Source organism: Homo sapiens, chromosome 19 (genome assembly GCF_000001405.40).
Source record: "Homo sapiens chromosome 19, GRCh38.p14 Primary Assembly".
Lineage (NCBI taxonomy): Eukaryota > Metazoa > Chordata > Mammalia > Primates > Hominidae > Homo > Homo sapiens.
The window spans coordinates 35,114,021-35,136,668 of NC_000019.10; the positions used below are offsets into that span (position 1 = coordinate 35,114,021).

The window sequence follows — 22,648 nt, forward strand, 5'->3', positions numbered from 1 at the left end:
GCCCTTCCTAAGACTCAGTGTGCTCATCACACTAGGGTCTCAGAGTCCTTCTGACCATAAACCCAAGCCCCAGCGCCAGCCCAACACACACTTGGACGCAGCATGTTCACGTCCAGCCTAGGAAGAATTTATGGTTGACCTGGATTGGGTAAAAACCGTAAACGTCTGTACCTCAGAATGTAAGATCATGGTGTTTAAAACTACAGAACATTCAGAGGTTGTCAGAAGTCTCTAATTGCTGGTCCCCCAGGTTGAAACCAGCCCTTAGGTTGAAATTTTGACCTGCAAATTTTTTTTTAAATCTGAACCAAATTTTTTAAATTAAACCCCTTTAAGGTAGTACATTTTCAAGATGCAAAATTCAAAAAATATAAGAGGGCACGTGATAATGAGTGAGTCTCACTTCCACCCCACCCTCCAGCCTCCCAGTTTCCCTCTCCAGAAGCCATGGGTATGGATGCCAATCTCCAAAAATATTTTATTCATTACAAGTATATACATATGCATTATTTTACCGCTCACAAATGGTAGCACACTGCACGGTTTCCCAATACCTTGTTTTTTTTCCCCTTAGCAAGCTGTCTGGGAAATACTTCTGTATCTAACCACGGGCAGGGGTGTTCCTCCAAGATTTTTAGACAACAGTTCTCCAGTTCACCCCGTTCCGGTGAAGGGCAGAGCACCCCCCGCCCTTCCCAGCCACCCTGTACACGCCCCTACTCGCTCTCGGATGCCTGCAGTTCCCAGGCTTCCCAGCAGAGGGAGACACCATTCCACTCCCAAGACCACCAAGGGGTCGTCCCAGACACAAGCTTCAAGGGTCTAGGGAAGAGACGCTATCCGCCCAGACACAAAGACCCCCCTTAGCTATACTGAGTTGGCCTCCGGGCCTCCCCTTCCTGTTTCTATCTCCTCCTGGACCTGTTGCTTAGAGCCCTACCCCGAGGTCCCCCCGCCCGGCTTCCTTATGGGAACTGGCCCCGCCTTAAGAGTGGTAGGAGGGAGCCTTACCCTTGTCTAGGACCTGGGCTTGACAACTTGCCCCAGGGAACCACATAGAGAAGGGGTGTAGCGCTGGGCGAACATTGCCCTCCCCGATCCCTCAGCGATGACAAGTGGGGGGTCCTTCTCTCTGCCCCCAGCAGGCCAGTTTCCGGAAGAGCCTTGACCCAAACCCCCTTTTCCTGTCCTGTGCTCCACACTCCCAGCAGCTGCTTCTCCCTGGCCAGGCCCTGCAGCCCTCCTCCCCGCCCCCACGGTGGTGTTGGGGTCGCCTGGAGTCCAGCTGGTGTCCAGGGCAGAGCTACCCCTTTCCTGGCCCTACCCCTCCCCGTGACCCCAATCCTCCGCCAACCGCTCAAAGGATCCTTGTTCTCCATCCAGCCCCCAGACAAAAGTCCCTCTGTCTAAGAAGGCGGAATTGAGGGGAGGGGGCACCCCCAACTGGGACCATGGGGGAGCCTGCACAGACCCCATCCGGAAGGAATGCCTGGAGGAGGAGGAGCAGGAGACAGGGGAGGAAAGGGGGAGGGAGGCTTGTACAGTGCTGGGGGCCTTATGTGGACTAGGAGGCAGCCGCCCCCACCAGCACCCACTCTGTAGACCCAGGCGTCTGGCTCCCAGCACCCACGGAAAGAGCCTGGCTAGGAAACTGCAGCCTGGTGCCTGGCAGACAGTTCTCATTCTCCCCAGGGCAGGGAGCAGGTTATGACCAGGACTAAGGTCCCAGAGTCCCCACCCTGACCCCTCCCTGCTGTTCCAGCCGCTCCCTCATATCCACCCCTGCCCCATCTCCTGACTTTGGTCACGCTAGCATCTTCTGCTGATCCTGAAATTGTACCAGCGGCAAGATGTGGCCTGGAAGGGGACTTTAAGTTCTCCACAACTGCCAGCAATCCTTCCACCAGGCAAAACACATCATCTAAGGAAAAGAAGTGAGGTCGGAACACCAACGCATCATCTCACTGCATGGCCCTGGAGGCTCTGCCGTTTAAAGACCCCAGAACCTTCCCCATTCAAGGTCCTCTCCTGGGCACAGGAGATTGGAGAAAGCTCCTCCCTTAATTCCAGGGGCCGAGTTCCAGCCCATCCAATTCTCCGTCTCACCTGAGGCTGCTGTGGTCCTGGTGACCCCAGGGAGCAACCTGCCGCCCATGGCTGGGGAGGGGGTGAAGCTGTCTCTTTAAGAGCAGGAATGGAGCCCCTGGGCCTCAGGGCATCTGACTTGTTTTCTACCTGCCCAGGTTTGCTTAGGGCGTGGCAGCTTCGGATAAACGCAGGACTCCGCCTGGCAGCCCGATTTCTCCCGGAACCTCTGCTCAGCCTGGTGAACCACACAGGTGAGCAGCTGGGGCCCCTTCCTCCAAGCCCTCCTTGTCTCTGCCCCTAAATTAGGAAGTATCTACCTGCCCCCTGACCCTGCCCCATAGAAGCTTTTATGTTAAAGCGCCTAAAATCTTGTGAAATGCTTTTCTGGAGCCAGGAGATAAACGGAAGTCCCTTCCCCTAATGTCCCTTTCCCCACCATTCTCCTCTCAGGGACTTGTTGAACCAGCTGAGGTGAGGGCAGGACTGATAAGTGTGGTTGGGGTGTCTGAAAGACTAGTGTCTGCATGGATTAGGGATATCTGGGTTGGGGATAGCTGGGTGGAGGAGAGGGGGTGCCTGGGTAGGTAGGGGTATCTAAGTGGACCAGGGGTGCGTAGATGGACTGGGGACATCTGGGTGGATGAGGAATGCTGGGTGGACTCGGGGTGTCCAGACATTGAGGGATCTGGGTGGATAAGGAGTGCTGGGTGGACTCGGGGTGTCCAGACATTGAGGGATCTGGATTCTGGAGACCTCCAGGAAAAAAGGATGGAGCTGCTGGGGGAAGCTTTAAATGGGGAGTTGCTTGGGAGATTTCAGGAGCACACAGCGGGCAGGATCTTTCTACCCACCCCTGAACATGAGACCATTCTCCCATGGTATGGAGGAATAGAGGGGATAGCAGAGGGCAGGTGGGGGAAACAGTCCTCAGGCCGGCCTTGGGACCTCATGGCCAGGAAGGATGAGAGCAGGTAGACAGAGCATCAGCTGCAGGGCTGCCTTCCTCTCTAACCTGCTCACCAACCACATCAGTTCGGGAGCAGCCCACAGCCTCTTCAGACAACAGCCTGAATGGGGAACGTGAGGGCAGACCCAGCTCCCGGCTCCCTGCAGCCTCCGGAAGCATGGGACTGGACGTTGTTTTGCAGAGGCTGGGGCGAGGAGGATACCATCTGTCAGTCTTGGCTGGATGACATCATGGGAAGGGGGTATAGTGGGGCCTTGCAGGCCAGAGGTGGCTTGGAGGAGCCCCTGGAAAGAGGCTTAAGAGGTGAGACTCAACAGCCATGGCGACAGAGCATAGGGCTTTAAGATGAATTTGCAGGGGTTACAGGATTACAACTGCAATGTGGGCTAATAATAGTGCCCCCTGCATTAAGCTGCAGAGATTGAGCGAGTAAGTGGGAAGCTGAGAAAATGCCCCCATGGGGTAGACACTCAATAAGCATCTGCTGTTATTACCAGGACTCGTATGGTCATGGGTGACAGCTTCAGACCACAGGCAGTCCACCTACAACCTGTGCCCCTATCCAACATGCCATCCTGCCCACCCACCCACGCCAGCTCCCCCAACCCCCAACACTTTTGGGGATCCTAAACACTTCCTGGGCCTCAGTAATGCTCCCCAAAGCCTCAGGCTTTCTTCCCGCAAAAAAAGGAAAAGAAATGGATGCTCCAACTAAAATTGTGAGTTCAGCATGTGGAATTAACTGGGAAGCTGAGAGGATTCCCAGGCCCTGGGGTGCCAGGCAGAGGGAGGAGTCTGTGCCAACCTGCAAGGACCACCCGCACCGTTGGTTGCGGGCACCACCCTCTCTCAGCATTTTTGCTGTTCGTGAAATGAGGACATAGTGGACGACGTCGGGGATTGCTGGGGGGTTAAGTGAGTGAGAACACGGCAAGGTCAGTGTGCACTCCAGGGCAAGGTGGAGGAAGTGCCAGCTCTCGCTATCAAAATTATAACTAGGCCAGGCGTGGTGGCTCACACCTGTAATCCCAGCACTGAGGGAGGCCGGGGTGGGTGGATCACCTGAGGTCAGGAGTTGGAGACCAGCCTGGCCAACACAGTGAAACCCTGGCTCTACCAAAAATGCAAAAATTAGCCGAGACTGGTGGCACACGCCTGTAGTCTCAGCTACTCAGGAGGCTGAGGCAGGAGAATCACTTGAACCCAGGAGGCAGAGGTTGCAGTGAGCTGAGATTATGCCATTGCACTCCAGCCTGGGTGACAGAGTGAAACTCCGCCTCAAAAAAAAAAAAAAAAAAAACAATTATGATAACTATGCACTCAGCATTTGGGCAGGGACAGGGCAGGGACAGGGCAGGGGAGGGCATGCTCGGAGGCCAGGGCTTGGTGCAGCCTTGCAGGCTGGTGAGAGGGCAGGACTGATGCCAGGTCAGGAAGGAGAGAGAAACGAGTTCCTTATGCTGAGCAGGTCTACCTGGGAAAGAGAAAGTGTTTGCTGTCACCAGGAACTCTGCTGGGCCTAGGGTAGGGTCAGGGGCTGGGCTGGGGACCCCGGCTAGGCAGAGCCAGGGCTGGGACCGGGAAGGGCATGGGTGTGGGATGAGGGGCAGGAGGTTCGGGGGAACAGAGATGGAGCTAGGGCTGCAGCCAGGAGGTAGAGTCCCCCTCTACCCCCAGTCCCAGCCTCACGTCAATTCCTCCACACACCACCCCACCCCCAAGCAGCTTGAAGAACCTGCTCAGTCCTCAGCCTGAAGTCTGCAATGTCCTGGCAGGGCCGGGCAGGCTCTGAGCGGTCTACGGAGACACTCCTGGGAAGCGGGCCTCCTGCCGCCTGGCTCCCAATGCCCCGCTTCCCCAAACACCCCAAGGCCCTGACAGTCCCTAGTTAGGAGCAGCTGCTGGGGAGCCAGGCCTGGCTTAAATCCTACTTCCTGGCTAGAGCACCTAGTTTCACCTCTCAGAGCCTCAGTCTCCCCATCTGTCCAGTGAGGACAACAGCGGGCAGTGGCGCCCTTGTTTGGTTGCGGGGCGATTCCCAGAAAGCCTGAAGTCCATGTCCAGTGAGTTATTATGGCTCCTCCCGCCTCAGGCCCGAGTTTCACCCAGTCCCCACTCCACGGTGCAGCTGCGGCTTATCTCTCAGCCCAGCGAGATGCCAGCCTTCCTGTCCCGGGTGAGCTGCGCACCCTGCCTGGGGAGCAGGGGAGGAGGGTTGGGGAGCCACAGGCACAGGGCCAGCCTCCCGGTGGCTCTGCTAAGGCCAGACCTCCCGCCACCCCTCTAGGCCAGCGCTCTGACATGCAGAAGGTGACCCTGGGCCTGCTTGTGTTCCTGGCAGGTGAGTACCCATCCCCCGTCTGCCTTTTCCTCTGGATCCCCTGGATGCGGGGATCCAACCTCTGTCTCTCTCCTGTGCTTTTCTACCTCCCCGGGAAGGTGGTAAATGTTAGAACAGCATCTCCCTGAGGGTAAGAAAAGTCAGACTAGTGATAGCCGGGGATACACGAGAAGAGCTGGCTCACACAGCTGGAAAGTCACCGTCTTCCCCATTCTCTCGATCTCTTCTTTTTTTTTGGCTTTTTTTGTTTTTGTTTTTGTTTTTGTTTTTGTTTTTGAAAGGGAGTCTCTGTTGCTCAGGCTGGAGTGCAATGGCGCAATCACAGTTCACTACAGCCTTGAACTCCTGGGGTCAAGCGATCCTACTCTCTTAGCCTCCTACACAGCTAGAATGCCAGGCACACGCCACCATGCCCAGTGCATTTTTGATTTTTTGCAGAGACGAGGTCTCACTGTGTTGCCCAAGCTGGTCTCAAACTCCTGGCTGAGTTTGATCCTCCCACCTCAGCCTTCCAAAGTGCTGGGATTACAGGCATGAGCCACACTGCACTGGCCTTGATTGACTATTAAACAGAAATAACGGAAGCTAGAGAAGATGATGAAATGACACCTTCAAAGCACTGAAAGAAGATAACTGCCCTGCCAGTTCTCTAAAAACTTCAAGTAGAAGGCTCAGCTCAGTGCGACTGCATCTTTAACTTCCAAACACTTTTCCCTTTTTTCTTTTCTTTTTTTTTTTTCGGAGACAGAGTCTCGCTCTGTTGCCCAGGCTGGAGTGCAGTGGCATGATCTCGGCTCACTGCAACCTCCACCTCCCAGGTTCAAGCGACTCTCCTGCCTCAGCCTCCCAAGTAGCTGGCATTACAGGCGTGTGCTGCCATGCCTGGCTAACTTTTGTATTTTTAGAAGAGACAAGGTTTCACCATATTGGCCAGGCTGGTCTCGAACTCCTGACCTCAAGTGATCCTCCTGCCTCGGCCTTCCAAAGTTTTGGGATTACAGGCCTAAGCCACTGTGCCCAGCCCGCTTTTTACTTTTTCACTGCAGCCTTGACCTCCCAGGCTCAAGAGATCCTTCCACGTCAGCCTCCCAAAGCTCTGGGATTACAGGCACACTTTTTGTCCATTACATAGGGCAAGACCAGTATTCCCTGCAGGGTAGTGATCTAAAATTACATTTTCAATAAAGTCTATTTAAGTGTATAATAGTGAGTCATTTTCAATGATGTGCAAACACCAGACCAGGTGGGTGTGGACATGGTGGAAGCGGGAGGATGGGCTTTGAGCATGATTGGACTTGGGGAAACAGGAATCTGGGAACTGAAACCATCTGTCGTCTTGACCAGAAAAGTCCCCCGCTGCTGCAGGAGGCATGGATTAACCACGTGTCTGGAAACATGAGACCAAATAGTGGCTAAAAACCTCCTAGATTAGAACCCATTTCAGGTGGCAGAATGCTGGCGTGACTCGGAGGTGTGGGGCTGAGTGGGCGAGTCCACATTTCCTCGTTGGGATATGAGGGGATGAGGTGGCTGCTCAGTGACAGGACCCCTGTCCCGCAGGAGACCCTTTCCCAAGGCCCCTGAAACTCCCCAGGCCCTGCCCAAAGGCTTGGCTGAGGCCGGCATCACCATCTCCCCTCCTTCCCCTCTTCTCCCACTAGGCTTTCCTGTCCTGGACGCCAATGACCTAGAAGGTGAGTCAGACTGGACTCTCACCCGTCACACCCCCAAATTCTCCCCTGGGTGGGGAAGGCCTGCATCCTGGCTGTAATCCTGGATTCATGATCTTTTTTCTTTCCTTGCAGATAAAAACAGTCCTTTCTACTATGGTGAGAGCCCGTGCCCCCTTTCCCCTCCCCACAACCCCACATACTGCTTGGTGCCAAGGGTTCCCATACAGGGTTGGGGCCTGACGTGAGCATCACAGGACAAAGATACGAAGGGACTAGGATGGGGTTACTGAATATGCCACACAGTGGATTAAAGGAACTAGAGGCAGCAACCTGGCCTTTGGGAAGGTTCTATTCCAGCAAGATAGACACACGCAGGAGGTGAGGACAGTTTGCAAGAAGCCATTGGTTGGTTCAGATCAACTGCTGGGAGAAGTGTTGACTTGAGAAAACTTCCTGGAGGTGGTGAGCTATTGGATCAAAACCCTCATCTGGCCTCCAGGTTCCAATGACCTGCTCCCTACTCCCCGCTCTGCCCTCACCTCTCCACGCTCCTCATTCCTTCTGCTCCAAGCCTCTCAGACACAGCAGACATACTGCCAGCCTCAGACCTCTGCACCTGCTGGTTCCTCTGCCTGGAACACTTCCTTCCACAGAACCACATGGCTCCCTCCCTTCCCTCTGCTCAAATGCAGCCCCCTGAGAGGCCTTCCCTGACAACTCCCTCTAAAAGAGCTGCCATCTGACTTTTTTTTTGTTTTAGAGACAGCGTCTCACACTGTTGCCCAAGCTGGAGTGCTGTGGTGTAATCATAGCTCACTGCAGCCTCAAACTCCTGGTCTCAAGCGATCCTCCTGCCTCAGCCTCCTGAATAGCTGGGACTGCAGGCATACACCACCATGCCTGGCTAATTTTTGTATACTTTGTAGAGATGGGTTCTCACTATGTTGCTCAAGCTGGTCTAGAACTCCTGAACTCCTGAAGTCCCAAAGCACTGGGATTATATTAGGTTGGTTCAAAAGTAATTGTGGTTTTTGCAACTGCTTTTAATGGCAAAAATGCAATTTTTTTTTTTTGAGGCAGAATTTTGCTCTTTCACCCAGAGTGTGACTGGCTGGAGTGCAATGGTGCAATCTTGGCTCACTGCAACCTCTGCCTCCCGGGTTCAAATGATTCTCCAGCCTCAGCCTGCTGAGTAGCTGGGATTACAGGCGCCTACCACCATGCCTGGCTAATTTTTGTATTTTTAGTAAAGACGGGGTTTCACCATGTTGGCCAGGCTGGTCTGGAACTCCTGACCTCAGGTGATCCGCCCACCTTGGCCTCCCAAAGTGCTGGGATATCAGGCGTGAGCCACCATGTCTAGCCAAAAACGCAATCACTTTTGCTCCAACCTAATAGGTGTCAGCCACTATGCCCAGCCCGCCCTCTGACTTTCCATCTCCCACCCCACTTATTTTTCTTCAAACCACTTATCTCTGCCTGACCCTGCACGACAGATCGTGTTTGCTGGTGTGTGAACCAGAATGTGAGCACCTGGGATTTTGTCTGTTTTCTTATGGCGGTGTCCCCAGCACCCTGTGCATCCTAGGTGCTCCATATATATTTGTCAAGAGAATGGGGGGACAGATGGAGAGGACACAGGCTGGCACTGAGGTCCCCTCCACTTTCCTCCTAGACTGGCACAGCCTCCAGGTTGGCGGGCTCATCTGCGCTGGGGTTCTGTGCGCCATGGGCATCATCATCGTCATGAGTGAGTGGAGGAGCTCGGGGGAGCAGGCGGGCCGGGGCTGGGGCTCCCCTCCCCTGACCACTCAGCTCTCCCCAACAGGTGCAAAATGCAAATGCAAGTTTGGCCAGAAGTCCGGGTAAGATACTGTTCCGGCATGCCCGCCTCAGGCTGACTGGACGCTTTTCAGGGTGAAAGGGCTAACTCTCCCAGCAGGAGAGGCCTCGGGGCTCTGCCCTTTAGAGTTCCTGCCGCTAAGATTTCCAGGTTTATTGTTTCTAGCTGGTAATCCCCAGGGGGCCCCAAATCCTGAAATGCTTTGGCCCCTGGGATTGCACAACCCCCCAAATGGAAAGGCAGCCAGGAAGACATGTCTGGGCAGGCTAAGAACCCTCTATCCGGAGGGAGAGGGCAAATGGGGGCGGACACCAATCTCACCACTTTTGTCTCCTTAGTCACCATCCAGGGGAGACTCCACCTCTCATCACCCCAGGTAAGATGGGGCAGCATGGGGCTCAGGGGAACACGGAAGTGGTGTGTGTGTGTGTGTGTATGTGTGTGTTTGCACACTGGAAAGAAAAGAACTCAATCCACCCTCACAAACGGACCCCATCACTTCCCGCAGGCTCAGCCCAAAGCTGATGAGGACAGACCAGCTGAAATTGGGTGGAGGACCGTTCTCTGTCCCCAGGTCCTGTCTCTGCACAGAAACTTGAACTCCAGGATGGAATTCTTCCTCCTCTGCTGGGACTCCTTTGCATGGCAGGGCCTCATCTCACCTCTCGCAAGAGGGTCTCTTTGTTCAATTTTTTTTAATCTAAAATGATTGTGCCTCTGCCCAAGCAGCCTGGAGACTTCCTATGTGTGCATTGGGGTGGGGCTTGGGGCACCATGAGAAGGTTGGCGTGCCCTGGAGGCTGACACAGAGGCTGGCACTGAGCCTGCTTGTTGGGAAAAGCCCACAGGCCTGTTCCCTTGTGGCTTGGGACATGGCACAGGCCCGCCCTCTGCCTCCTCAGCCATGGGAACCTCATATGCAATTTGGGATTTACTAGTAGCCAAAAGGAATGAAAGAGAGCTCTAACCAGATGGAACACTGGAACATTCCAGTGGACCCTGGACCATTCCAGGAAAACTGGGACATAGGATCGTCCCGCTATGATGGAAGTGTTCAGACAGTTTATAATAGTAAGCCCCTGTGACCCTCTCACTTACCCCGAGACCTCACTTTATTACAAGATCTTTCCAAATACCCAAATGTCCCTGCAAGCCCGTTAAATAATTCCCTATGCTACCCTTAATAACATACAATGACCACATAGTGTGAGAACTTCCAACAAGCCTCAAAGTCCCTTGAGACTCCCCAATACCTAATAAGGCATGCGAAATGTTCTCATGAACTACCCCACAACACGCCTAAAACTCAAAACACCCAAAAATATCTCCTCCAATGTCCTGAAACATGAACCCAAAAAGAGACCCACAATAAACTCGTGACTTGTCCCCTCATCATGCCGTTTTATCCCTCAAACATCCCCTGAGTCCCTCCATAACCACGAACCCACACTCAGAGACCATGAACTGCGGAAACGCCTCCCTGGGACCTGGGCCGCTCCGAGCACTGCTCCAGGGACACCATCCCCGCCCTGTGCCGTTCACAGGACATCCTCTCCCAAGGATCCACAACACTGGGCGGGGAGGGTGCACAGCGCATTTATTGAGCTCGGACTCGTCTTGTCCTTGCCTCCGTCGCCCATCTAGAAGGGCACCAGGCTCCCCGCGACACCTCCCGCTGTCCCTCCCTGTGCCCCGGCGCACGCGCAAGAGGCGCAAAAGGCACAGCTTGCTGGGCGGCCGCACGCATGCGCACAAGCAGCAGAGGGGAACCCGCCCAGTGCTGAGTTGTCTTCGAGGTTGGCGCTCCTCCAGGAAAGCGATTGGCTGCGTGGAGTTTAGAATGGGAAAGGAATGCCATCAACCCCTCGGTGCTTTCAGAGGGACCAGCGGGGTAGGAGCGGGTTGAGAGGGGGGCTCCGGGACCTCATGGAGCTCTGCACGTGACCTCCACCTCGACTCCATGCAGTGCACCAGCCTGCACCCCCCAGGTTGCCTTTGATGGGGAATCTGCCCCAGCCGAGATGTCCAGATGTTGCTTTAGACCTGAAGGGCAGCTCGGGAGGTCCAGTAGGCTGGGACCCTCTATGTCCCCCCATGGGTGCAGATCCTTTAAGAAGTGGGCTTAAGGCCTAGACGTGTGGCTGATGAACGTGGCCCACGGTCAGCAGCTCACAGGCGGGCCATCACCCCAAGTAGGGCCAGGAGCCAGCCAAGGGGCCGTCCAGGGGCCCCAGCCATGCCCAGAGTCCCGTTGGTGGTCTCAGGCACTGAGGTCGATCTCGTGATGCTGGTAGATCTGTGTGGGGCCCTTAAAGCAAGCAGCAAAGAGGAAGCGTCTGCCGGCCATAGTGATGTGGGCAAAGGCACGGGGGGCCACCAGGGCCGGAGGCCCCAGCTCCTGCAGTGGCTCCAGGAGCCCCTTGTCAGGCTCAAGGCGGAGGACCTGGCTGAAGGCGAAGTCGCTGCCTAGGATGGCCAGCTGGTCCCTGGCGATGAGCAGTGGCTGGAAGACGTGGGCACCGCGCGAGGGAAGTTGCTGCAGCAGACGAAACATGGAGCCGTCCCAGCGCATGACCTGTGGGGGTGTGGCCAGTGAGGGCCTGGGGTCCCGGGGGTCTCTGGGGGCCGTGGAACAGCTTGGAAGCAGAAGCCTGTCGGTCCCAAAACTCCCATAGCTTTCTTATCTTCATAAAAGTCACCACCCACCTGTTCGGCCACACACATGCAGTTGTTCTGAGCCCTTCCCTTGCCCTCACGCCCCACACAGAAGCACTCAGCCATGGACTCTGTCAGTTTCACCTTCTACAGTTGTACATTTCTCCCACCACCTCTGGCTGAACTCCATCCCCTCCTGACTGGACCATCCTGGCAGCCTCTTCCCTGGCCTCTAGGCTCCTCTCCCTGCTCCCCCAGTCTGTTCCCCACCCAGAGACCTTGTGAACACCTGAGTCAGATCAGGGCCCTTCCAGACTCAGAACCCTCCCCTGCCTGCACCTCACTCCAGAAACAGTGGGCAGTGCTTAACCCTAGCATCAGCCTTGGGGGCTCAGTGTCAGGGTGGGGACAGGTGTGGCTGTGGTGAAGTCTGGAATGCATCCGAGTCACAGAGCCAGCATTTGGGGGTAGAATCAGGATGTTGGGGCCAGCATCAGTGTCGGGGACTGGGGAGTGGTTCGGAGTCAGCCAGCCTTGAGGGGGTCAGAGTCTTGGCATCAGTGTGGGGTGGGGTCCTGGTTCAAAGGTCGGCATGTGAGGGTAGGTCAGAGTTTAGAGGCTTAGTGTGCAAGATTGGGTCAGTGCTGAAAAGCCAGCCCCCCGCCCCCAGGCCCAGCCTCACCATGGAGTCCCCAATGTAGCGTGTGAGGCACAGGAACACGTCCCCACCAGCCTGGAAGTGGCGTGTGGCATAGACATCCTCGGCCTCGGGGATGTCTGTGCGTCTCTCGAAGCGGCCACCGGTCCAGTGGAAGAGCACGGGCCGCTGGGAAGCCGAGGCCAGCAGCAGGTGGGGCCGGCCGTCCAGCTCCAGGGCCTCAGCGTCCGTGTCCCGGTGCCAGGCGTGCAGGCTCTGGTGCGGGTAAAAGCCGGGCCCGTCGCGGCACAGCAGCGTGGTGCTGCCCGCCTTGGAGGCATCGGCCACCACGAAGCAGGGTTGCCCTTCCAGCCACAGGAGCTCGGCGTCATTGGGCCGCAGCAGCCGCCGCGGGGCCAGGGTCTGCGTTGGGGCCAGGCGCAGGCCGGGACTGGGCCGGGCCCACAGCTGTGAGCCCCCCCACAGGCGGGCAGCCAGCACGAAGAGGCTCGGGCCCAGCACCAGTGGCTTGCAGGACACCACGGAGGCCGCTGTGGGGAGGTGGGGAGGCAGGTCAGGCCAGCCAGGCAGGCTGCTGGACAGGCAGAAGGACGGGGAGGGGGCTCACCGGGCAGCTCTTCCTCGGGCCGGAAGCGCTGCAGGCTGTAGTCCCAGGAGAGAATCAGGCAGCGGCCGGCGAAGGGCTGTGCCAGCACAATGTGAGGCTCCCCTTGGTAGGAGAAGGGCTCTACGCTCAGTGCCGACTCCCCCACCGTCTGGAACCAGGACAGCTCTGTGGGTGGAGAAGAGAGTCAGGCAGGCCCCAGGACCCCCAGGGTCCTCATTGCTGAGCCTCAGTTTGCCTACATCTCTGAAATGGAGGCCATTCATGGTACCCCCCTCATAGGGACATATAACTGGAATCTTGATCTGTAGATGTTTGTTTGGTTTGGGTCGAGGGGTATTTTGTTTTGTTTTGAGACAGGGTCCCACTGTGTCTCCCAGGCTGAAGTGCAGTGGCACAATCATAGCTCAATGCAGCCTCCACCTTCTAGGCTCAAGCAATCCTCCTTCCTCAGCCTCTTAAGCTGAGACTACAGGTGTGTGCTACCATGGCTGGCTATTTTTTTATTTTTTGCAGAGATGGAGTCTTGCTATGTTGCCCAGGTTGGTCTGGAATTCCTAGGCTCAAGAGATCCTCCTGCCTTGACCTCCCAAAGTGCTGGGATTACAGACATGAGCCACCTCCACCTCCTGGGTTCAAACAATTCTACTTCCTCAGCCTCCCGAGTAGCTGGAATTACAGGCGCCCGCTACCACGCCCAGCTAATTTTTGTATTTTTAGTAGAGATGGGGTTTCACCATGTTGGCCAGGCTTGTCTCGAACTCCTGACCTCATAATCTGCCCGCCTCGGCCTCCCAAAGTGCTGGGATTACAAGCGTGAGGCACCGTGCCCGGCCCATAAATCTTATTTTCTAAGCTGTGTGGCATCACCAAATAATCCCTTAGAAACAGCATCTGGATTAATTCATTTAACTTCACAACATCCCTGTGAGGTACATTCTGTGATGATTTCCCCTTCGCAGATGAGAAAACAAAGGCTAACTGGCACAGGCAGTCTGTTATCCAACAAAATCCATCCTTCCCACCTTCCAGGAGAGAGGATTGGAGCTGGTCACCAGGCCACCCAGCTAGAGGCTGCATTATCCCGGGACCCCCATTCACCGCCCTCGCTGAAAGTTAGATGTGGCTGTTTTGAGACTGAGTAACCAGTGGAACAAGGGCAGATGTGATGAGTGTAATGAGCCACCACACCTGGAAACAGCTTGTCCCAACTTGGTCTCCTTTCCCACCACGTGGGTGTGCCACAACCTGGTTTCAAGCCTGAAAGCAAGGACAATGCCCAGGGACTGCCCCACGTACCTGGACAGCTCACTCCAGATCCTTCTATCCTTAATTCATGGTATTTTGAGAGTTTGTGACAGCGGCTTGGCTTTCATTGTCACTGGGGCACCAAGGCTGCTCCGCTTGTTAGTAGGGGAGCTGGGCAGTTGACTCCAGGCTGTAATATTTCACTCTGCGTGCCAGGCCCTGTTTCCAGGTGCCAGCGTTGAAGCAATGAGCCAAACTACATATAATGCCCACCTAAAGGGCGAATCTTTTTTAAATGGCTATCAAATCACCTCTTGCTCAAAACTCTCAGCCGAGAGTGGTGGCTCACGCCTGTAATCCCCACATTTTGGGAAGCCAAGGCAGATGGATCAGTAGAGCCCAGGAGTTCGAGAGCAGCCTGGACAACATGGTGAAAACCCCATCTCTACAAAAAATACAAAAAATTAGCAGGCATGGTGGTGGTGCACCTGTAGCCCCAGCTACCAGGGAGGCTGGGGCAGGAGGATCACCTGAGCCTGGGGAGGTCAAGGCCTCAGTGAGCCGTGATTGTACCACTGAACTCCAGCCTGGGCGACAGAGTGAGATCCTGTTTCAAATAAACAAACAAACATACAAAAAACTTTCTATTCTTGCCATGGCCCAGAATAAAGTCTCCTCTCCTCTCTGTGGCTTCCAAAATCCATACCTGTCCCTCCACTCACTACCCCTGAGCCACACCTGCCTTCGTTTGATCTTCAAACAGGGCACACTGTATGCTGCCTCAGGGCCACCGGCCAGGCTGTTCCCTCTCTCTGAAGAGCCCTTCCCTCTGTTCCTCACTTAGCCACATCGAGACCTAACATCCCCACTTGAGAGAAGCCTTCTCTGACTCCCATAGGAACCCTCATTCTCTCATCACTCCTTGTAGTTATCACAACGTATAGCACACATTGATCTGTGCCGTGTTTGTTAAATGTCCATCTCCCCAAACTCCCAGGACTGTAAGTCCCGTAAGGCCACGGCTCAGGTCGCAACCACAGTGACCATCACCTCTCACAGGGCTGGGCACTGAGTGGACTTCAGTGAACATTTGTTGGATAACTTGAATGAAGAGGGACTCCCTAAGTTAAATCCCCTTCTTCTATGTGTCCCACAGACCAAAAACATGTCTTTCTTACACTTAGAATAATAATAATTATATGCTGATAATAATTATGTATGCATATATAATTATATATATATTATATATACATGTTGTGGGGGAAAGGAAGAGAGATCAGACTGTTACTGTGTCTATGCAGAAAAAGGAAGACATAAGAAACTCCATTTTGATTTGTACTAAGAAAAATTCTTCTGCTTTGAGATGCTGTTAATTTATGAACTTAGCCCCAACCCTGTGCTCACAGAAACATGTGCTATATTGACTCATGGTTTAATGAATTTAGGGCTATGCAGGACGTGCTTTGTTAAAATGTGTTTGCAGGCAGTATGCTTGGTAAAAGTCATTGCCATTCTCCATTCTCGATTAGCCGGGGACACAATGCACTGTGGAAGGCCGCAGGGACCTCTGCCCAAGAAAGCCTGGGTATTGTCCAAGGTTTCCCTGCACTGAGACAGCCTAAGATATGGCCTCGTGGGAAGGGAAAGACCTTACTGTCCCCCAGCCCGACACCTGTAAAGGATCTGTGCTGAGGAGTATTGGTGAAAGAGGAAGGTCTCTTTGCAGTTGAGATTAGAGGAAGGCATCTGTCTCCTGCTCGTCCCTGGGAACGGAATGTCTCGGTGTAAAACCCGATCGTACATTCTGTTTACTGAGATAGAAAACCGCCTTATGGCTGGAGGTGAGACATGCTGGCGGCAATACTGCTCAGCTACTCTTTACTGCACTGAGATGTTTGTGTAAAGTTAAACATAAATCTGGCCTACGTGCACATCCAGGCACAGTACCTTTCCTTAAACTTATTTATGACACAGAGTCCTTTGCTCACATGTTTTCCTGCTGACCCTCTCCCCACCATTACCCTATAGTCCTGCCACATCCCCCTCGCTGAGATAGTACAGATAGTGATCAATAAATACTGAGAGAACTCAGGGACCAGTGCCGGCGCGGGTCCTCACTTGCTGAGTGCCAGTCCCCTGGGCCCACTTTTCTTCCTCTATACTTTGTCTGTGTGTCTTATTTCTTTTCTCAGTCTCTCTTCTCCACCTTGCGAGAAATACCCACAGGTGTGGAGGGGCAGGTCCCCTTCATATTGTTATAGATAATAATAATTATTGCTGTTGTTATTGTATTCATAGCATCTGTGGCCGGGTGTGGTGGCACATGCTTGTAATCCCAGCACTTTGGGAGGCTGAGGTAGGAAGATCACTTGAAGCCAGAAGTTCAAGACCAGCCTAGGCAACGTAGCATCTCCCAGACCCTATCTCTACAAAAAAGTTTTTTAAAAAAATTAGCCAGGCACAGTAACATATGCCTGTAGTCCCAGCTATTTGTCAGGCTTAGGCAGGAGGATCTCTTGAGCACAGGAGTTTGAGGCTGCAGTGAGCTATGATGGCGCCATTGCACTCCAGCCTGGGCAAGAGAATGAGACCCCAACTCTTAGAAAAGAAGAGCATCTGTGTAAAGACCCTTCAGGCTTAAACTCCTTCAGGAAGCCCTTCCTGTCCCCCCAGCTCTGTGTGGCCCTGGCCCTGACTCTGGGCTCCCTCAGCTCCCACAGCTTTCCCCATCCCTGCCCTGACCCCTCTGGCTGGGCCTCCCCATCCTGCCCAGATCGTCCTGGGCTGTCCTGTCTGGGCCTGCATTCCTCTGGACTTTGAACTCTTTGAGGGCGAGACCCAGGGCTGGCCTCATCATTCTGTGCTCTCTGCACTGCCCAGTATCCTAAAAGGCAACAAAATCTATTTATAGAAAAGGCGAGTCAATGTAAAGGAGGTGACATTGCACCTGCAGTTCTTAGCGCAATACTTGGCACTTAACGAAGAATTTTTAAATTGGTTGCTTTTATGTTAACAAGGGTGAACGTTTATAAGGACCTCCTGTCCCAGGCCCGGCGCCAAATGCCGAACACGTGAAGATGTATCATTGAATTCCCATGGCACTCCTATATCACTGTTTATTACCCCCACTTTACAGATGAGAAAACTGGGGCTCAGGAAGGCAGTGCTGCTTGCTCAGGGTCTTCCCACTCCGGGAAATGGCAGGGCAGGGAGTGAGACGAGCCTCTTGGCCCTGGCAGCCTTTCCCCCAGATCTCCCGCCTCCCACCCCATCGGGAAAGCCCCCCACCTATGGCTCTGCACTTGAAAGTCTTGGGGTCGAGGTGGTGGAGCTGCATGTGGCTCAGGGAGGCGGGGCCCGCACAGGCGCCGGTCCCCACGCTGGCATTCACGGTGGGCATCCACTGCAGGAGCCAGAGGACGCGGCAGTCACACTGGAACGGGTTCCCGCGGAGGTCCCTGGGGCAAGAGGCCAGGGAGGGGCTGCGACCCGGCTTCCACGCCCTGGGGGCCATGCTCCTGCCCCCACCTCAGGCAAGTGTCCCCAGAGATGGGGCCCCATAGTGGTAAGAAAAATACGTAAGAACCACTGCAGCCAAATGCATGCACGCCAACCAGAAGTGGGCACGGATGCCCCCCGCCGACACAAACATTCCCCAACCCCCCACATTCCCAGCCCCCATGAGCCTCACACATGAGTAAGGGTGTCCAGGCCTCGGAACAGGAATCTGGGGAGGGTCTCCAGATGGTTATTGGCCAGGCTTCTGGTGGAGGAAGAGAAGGCACCGTCAGCAGCCACAAGGATACCCTGTGTTCCCTGGGGGGTGGAGCATGGGTGCCTCTCATGGAGGGCTGGGGCGGTGGAGGCACGCACAGGTGTGTAAGCGAGCGAAGTCCTCTGAGGGCATTCTTAGAGATGGAGCCAATCTCATTGTCCTCGATGAAGCTGTGGAGGGAAGCTGGGGTCAGGGGGAGGCCCGCTGAGCTTCAGGGAACGCACCCCATGAAAGACATAGGCCCACTGGAAGGTGCTGAATTCTCTTCCAATACCACGGACAATCCCAGGGAAAGCCTCTCAAAAACCTCTCCTCCCAAAGTCCCAGCCATCAATTCTAGGAGCCATGAAACTGGCCCCATAGTCATTGCCAGTTTCACTGTGAACATTGTCCTGCTGCCACCACCACAATCACCATCACCAGTGCTGACACCCAAATCACCAATACCTCCAGCATCATTGGTAATGACCAACACCAATGCCAGCATCCCCAACACCCATGTCTTTATCACTGTCATCAACCCCAGGACCAATAACTGCCATTATCCCCAACACCATACCCTGCCACCACCATCACCACCACCAGTGCTAGCACCCACACCACCACATTACCTCCAGCATCATCTGTAATGACCAACCCAATGCCAGCATCCCCAACACCCATGTCTGTTACCATCATCAACCCCAAGACCAATAACTGCTGTTATCCCCAACATTATACCTTGCCACTATCATCACCAACACTAGCATCATTGTCACCAATAACATCACCACCCACTCCCATCAACACCATCACCAATATCATCATTACCAAACTCCACACCAACAACACTAATAATCATCACCAACAACACAATCTTCATGATCAACACCAAAAAGATTGCCACCCGCATCTCCAATGCAGCACTATCACACACATCAGCATGAGCGCCACCAACACTGCCAACACTCACATCTCCATTATGCCCAAGATGCACATATTCACCCACCACCAGTACTACCACTGCCGGAGTTTCCATAAATACCAACACCTTCACCATCATCACCAACCCAGTACCAACAACATTGCCATTCATACCAACCCCAACATCCTACCCACAGCCATCACCAACATCAACACCAATACTGTAATGACCCACCCCCACAACATTGATAATTATCACAGACACGAGCCCCAAGAACTTCATCAGTGATTTCATCCATAGCATCATCACCACTGGGGCTACCATTTTTACCAACATCATCCCCACTCCATCATCATCAATAATGCCACCAATCCCATGTCAGCAGCAGCAACAGGGTCATCACCACTGCCATTATCATCAACGCCATGACCCACACCAATGCCAGCATTGTCATGCTGTGACTGCCACCGCTGCCACCATCACCACCACTACCCAATCGTCAGCACCACCCTCAACACCACCACAGTATCACCACCACTACCTAATTCAGAGTTGTTTCCTGGTCATTTGAAACGTTTCTTGTCTCTGACTTCTGTACACCCTTCCTGGGTTTCTATGAGTCAGGGAGAGCCAGAATCAGGCTCTGGTTATCCGGGCCCTTTGTAGATCTTGAAGCAGAGAAGTGAGGTGATAATCAACACTGATAAACATCATTGACACCAGCCCTGAGAACTTCATCAGTATCACCCAAAGCATCATCACCATTGGGTTCGCCATTTTTATCAACACCATCCCACCATGATGTCCAAACACCTGCTCCTCAGGGCCACAGCTCCCATCTCCCCCTACTCTGGGAGCCACAGAAGGGTCCCTCCTTGCCCAGACCCACCTGCCTCCATCCCCTGGCCTCACTCACAGGTACTGCAGGTGGGACAGGCCCGCAAATGCATCGTCCTCAATCACGGAGAAGGAGTTGGAGGTGAAGAGGCTGGCAAGGGGGCAAGAAAGAAATTTTTCCAGAATTGCAGCCCCCATCTGACATTTTAACCCTGGCCTCCACCCTCAGCCTAGGTGGGCATGGGCACGCAGGTGTGAGTATGTGCATGGACACAAATGCTTTTGTACAGACGTGTGCATACACCCCCACACACGTGCATCAATGCCCACCTGACATCTGTGTGAGCATACACTCCCACACATGTGCATAAACGCACACTCCCTTGAGCTGGTTGTCGGCCCAGCCAGGCCCCACTCACAGCAGGTGCAGAGACGGAATTCTCAGGAAGCTGCCGGCCTTCAGCTGGGTGACTCCCGTCCTGACGAGTGAGCTGGGGATGTGGGCAGTGGTAGGTGAGAGGGACACCACAGCAATACTCCAGTTGCAAACCAGAACCTTCTGCCATCCGGGAGACCCCAGCGTGCCACCCTGACCCTGGATGTGTCTCCCCTGCATGCCAGAGGAGGCAGGCATTTGCCCTCCTGGCTTGACAAGGACCCTGACAGCACTCAACCCTCCTCCTGGGCCCCAAATGCTGTCCCTGCCCTCTGGGGTTTCCTTCTGCTCCTTCCCAGATGCCAGCACCCCTCTTCAAGGCATCCCGACAGGCTTTGCTGCCCATCTCCTGAGATCCTGATGGGCCCCTGTTTCCCTGGAGACCCGGCACCACATCCCAACCTCTGGGGTCCCAGGACTTCCGTCCCCACCTTCGGGCATGCAGAAGGCTGGACACTCACAGTGACAGCAGGGTCGGAGAGAAGCTGACGGGCAGGTCCGGGGAGCCCTCACACAGGGCGCTGTCTTTAGAGCAGGAGCAGCGCAGGGGACACTTTCCCTTTGGGGGTCTCCAGGCCACCACCACCCCCGCCCCAGCCAGCAGCAGCAGCAGAATGCCTGCCCCTCCCATGCCCCCACCCCCACTCTGAGGCACCCGCTTCTCCCGGCCCACCCAGCTCAGCCCAGGCCACTACGTCTCCTCCTCCACCAGGCCGCCCTCCATCCGCCTGCTGGCACGCTCGGCCCTGGCTTCTCTCTCCTCTTCTCCGTCTTTCTTTCAGTCGGCCTTCCTCCCTGTTCGTATGTCTTTGGTGTCTAATTTTCTGTTTCTCTTTCTCCCTGTCTTTCTGTCTCTGTATTTTTGACTCTGTGTGTTAGTCTGTTTCTATTTCTGTCTTTGTCTCTCTTTCTGCCTGTTTCTTTTTTTCTGTGTTGCTGTCAGTCTTTCAGGCTTTAGGTAGCTGTCTATCTGTTGGTCTCTATGTGTGTGAGTGTATGTGAGTGTGTGTGTGTCCTGCTGCCTGGTGTCTTGATTTCTTGTCTCCTGCCCCCCCCACCCCCCCTTCCAGCTCCCTGCCTGTAGTTTCTTTGCCTCCTCCCACCTCCCTTCTCCCCGAAGGTTTGGGAAAGGGGTTCGCTGGACACCCGGCACACCCGGCAGAGTAGGATGGGAAGGAGGAGGGGGTCAGAGGCCATGAGAAGGTCGGCCTTGGGGGAAGGGACTGGACAGCCCCACAGGAGGGGGAGGGGCCACCAAGGGCTGGAGCCGCCCCACCACTCCCGCCAGCCCCCTCCCCAGATTCCCCACTCAACCCTATTGGGGGAGCAGGAGGACGATGTCACCAGGGTGGGGACCAGATGGCTCTGCATTCTGGAGCAGGGTGGGAGGAGAGGCCCTGGGGGGGCTGGGGACATCCCGTCCTGGCCACTCTCTGCCAGCCCCCTCCCCTGGCTACAGGAGGGTGTGTTGGGCGCTGTCAGTGGGGCCAGATCACGTCCAGCTGCTCCCTCTGGTGGTCATACTCGGCAGGACCTCTGCCCGGCCCCAAGCCCTTAGCCTCCCTCCCCTACCCTGAAATTAACCCTCTAGTGGCCAACACCCACTGGGGGACAGCACCAACCCGAGGACATGATGATGATGAAGATGATGATGATGGTGAAGATGATGATGATGATGCCACCCCTTCTTCAGCGTCTACTCTGAGCCTGGCCTTGTCCTAAAAGCTCATCTATTAACTCATTCTGATCTTGCCAAAGCCCTCTGAAGTTAGTGCTGTCATCATCACCACTTTACAGCTGGAGGAAGTGGAGACAGAGGTCAGGGAACCTGAACTCTAGGTTACCCAGCTGAGGGCACAGCCGGGATTCAAACCCAGGCATCCGGCTCCAGGTTATTTTGCATTCTTTCTTTGGAGATCAGAGTTCATGGATAGATGGATAATTGGTTGTTTTAATCTGGACTAAATTTTAGTCATTTGGATAGATTCTGTCCACTAAATAAGAAACATAAGTAAATGACACTTGTTAGCTAAGATGAAATAGTAGTAATGTTTATACTCACTCAGCCTTCACAGCCACCCTGTGAGATGGGCAGTACTGCTATCCCTGCTTTACAGATGGGGAAACTGAGGCACAGGGAAGTTATGTGATTAGTTTCCTGGCTCTAGTCAGCTCTAAACCTAACCCCTAGGCTGTACCACCTCATCGCCTGGGGACGAGACTCATCCTGTGATTGAGGAATGCATGCAGCCTCTCTTGACACTGACGCCCACGCCCAGAAGCCTCGTTGGAGGATAAGGGGGCTTAACAGCTTGGAGGTCATGCAGATCTGGGTTCCAGGCCCAGTCCTGTGTGGCCTCAGTTTTCCCATCTGTCAAACGGGGACAATCGTGGCACCCGCTTCCCAGTTGTGGAGAGGACTCAGGTGATGGAGGCAACTCATCCTTTTGGGGTTCAGCACAAGGTGGGCATCCCACAGTGGTCGGCAAGCTTGGGGGTGGGCTCCGGATCCAGCTCCTAGAGGAGCAGACCCCAGCAGCTTGTGGTTTGAGCCATGCCCGTCAGCTCTCAGTTTCCTTCACTGACTATTGGGTATGATAAACAGGGTCCCTGAAAGTG

At 54.6% G+C, this 22,648-nt stretch overlaps 2 protein-coding genes and 1 non-coding gene across 20 annotated transcripts, besides 3 other annotated features; 2 read left to right on the plus strand and 1 right to left on the minus strand.

Moving 5' to 3' along the window:
* The first annotated feature begins 1,802 nt into the window (after positions 1–1,802).
* On the plus strand, positions 1,803–10,304 carry FXYD3 (FXYD domain containing ion transport regulator 3). 14 transcript variants are annotated; one of them, NM_001136007.2, is made up of 11 exons: positions 1,803–1,939; positions 2,244–2,339; positions 3,237–3,358; positions 5,148–5,231; positions 5,343–5,396; positions 7,058–7,090; positions 7,202–7,225; positions 8,745–8,819; positions 8,898–8,934; positions 9,251–9,288; positions 9,421–10,304. In NM_001136007.2, the coding sequence occupies exons 3-11, from the start codon at positions 3,286–3,288 to the stop codon at positions 9,435–9,437; spliced, it is 435 nt and encodes a 144-aa protein (NP_001129479.1). In that variant the 5' UTR covers positions 1,803–1,939; positions 2,244–2,339; positions 3,237–3,285; the 3' UTR covers positions 9,438–10,304. The 14 variants fall into 14 exon arrangements, with proteins under 14 accessions (NP_001129479.1, NP_001374284.1, NP_001374278.1 ...); NM_001387355.1 differs by lacking the exon at positions 5,148–5,231 and having other exon boundaries at positions 1,803–2,020; NM_001387349.1 differs by lacking the exon at positions 3,237–3,358 and having other exon boundaries at positions 1,803–2,020.
* Positions 8,237–9,126: an enhancer, noted in NCBI's record as "H3K27ac-H3K4me1 hESC enhancer chr19:35613161-35614050 (GRCh37/hg19 assembly coordinates)". NCBI's record gives its function as "activates a minimal SCP1, AML or CMV promoter by ChIP-STARR-seq in naive and primed H9 embryonic stem cells {active_cell/tissue: H9 hESC(naive and primed)}" and the evidence as "EXISTENCE:reporter gene assay evidence [ECO:0000049][PMID:30033119]".
* MIR6887 (microRNA 6887) lies at positions 8,680–8,744 on the plus strand. The gene has a single exon (NR_106947.1). It is a non-coding gene; the product is annotated as a microRNA 6887 (primary transcript).
* Positions 9,127–10,014: an enhancer, noted in NCBI's record as "H3K27ac-H3K4me1 hESC enhancer chr19:35614051-35614938 (GRCh37/hg19 assembly coordinates)". NCBI's record gives its function as "activates a minimal SCP1, AML or CMV promoter by ChIP-STARR-seq in primed H9 embryonic stem cells {active_cell/tissue: H9 hESC(primed)}" and the evidence as "EXISTENCE:reporter gene assay evidence [ECO:0000049][PMID:30033119]".
* Positions 10,285–10,374: an enhancer, noted in NCBI's record as "active region_14456". NCBI's record gives its function as "activates an Ori minimal core promoter by ATAC-STARR-seq in GM12878 lymphoblastoid cells {active_cell/tissue: GM12878}" and the evidence as "EXISTENCE:reporter gene assay evidence [ECO:0000049][PMID:35858748]".
* Positions 10,493–21,039, minus strand: LGI4 (leucine rich repeat LGI family member 4). 5 transcript variants are annotated; one of them, XM_017026429.1, is made up of 10 exons: positions 20,461–20,553; positions 20,013–20,084; positions 19,673–19,744; positions 19,298–19,369; positions 17,951–18,022; positions 17,769–17,840; positions 17,366–17,535; positions 12,833–12,997; positions 12,250–12,755; positions 10,493–11,487 (listed from the first exon to the last, which is right to left on the minus strand). In XM_017026429.1, exons 7-10 carry the CDS (start codon positions 17,475–17,477, stop codon positions 11,173–11,175), a joined length of 1,098 nt encoding a protein of 365 aa, XP_016881918.1. In that variant the 5' UTR covers positions 17,478–17,535; positions 17,769–17,840; positions 17,951–18,022; positions 19,298–19,369; positions 19,673–19,744; positions 20,013–20,084; positions 20,461–20,553; the 3' UTR covers positions 10,493–11,172. The 5 variants fall into 5 exon arrangements, with proteins under 5 accessions (XP_016881918.1, XP_047294299.1, NP_644813.1 ...); XM_047438343.1 differs by having other exon boundaries at positions 19,298–19,424; NM_139284.3 differs by lacking the exon at positions 19,298–19,369 and having other exon boundaries at positions 20,491–21,039.
* Positions 21,040–22,648: the final 1,609 nt, after the last annotated feature.

What these genes read in the sequence shown, in the direction of transcription:
- FXYD3 (NM_001136007.2), top strand. Translation starts at nt 3,286, where the DNA reads ATGGGAAGGGGGTATAGTGGGGCCTTGCAGGCCAGAGGTGGCTTGGAG. An exon ending in CCTGGAAAGAGGCTTAAGAG is followed by an intron (nt 3,359 to 5,147) that starts GTGAGACTCAAC and finishes CTCCCGCCTCAG; the next exon opens with GCCCGAGTTTCACCCAGTCC. An exon ending in GGGCATCATCATCGTCATGA is followed by an intron (nt 8,820 to 8,897) that starts GTGAGTGGAGGA and finishes TCTCCCCAACAG; the next exon opens with GTGCAAAATGCAAATGCAAG.
- LGI4 (NM_139284.3), bottom strand. Translation starts at nt 20,660, where the DNA reads ATGGGAGGGGCAGGCATTCTGCTGCTGCTGCTGGCTGGGGCGGGGGTG. An exon ending in CTGTCCCACCTGCAGTACCT is followed by an intron (nt 18,023 to 19,672) that starts GTGAGTGAGGCC and finishes TTCCCTCCACAG; the next exon opens with CTTCATCGAGGACAATGAGA. An exon ending in GCTACATTGGGGACTCCATG is followed by an intron (nt 11,488 to 12,249) that starts GTGAGGCTGGGC and finishes ACACCCCCACAG; the next exon opens with GTCATGCGCTGGGACGGCTC.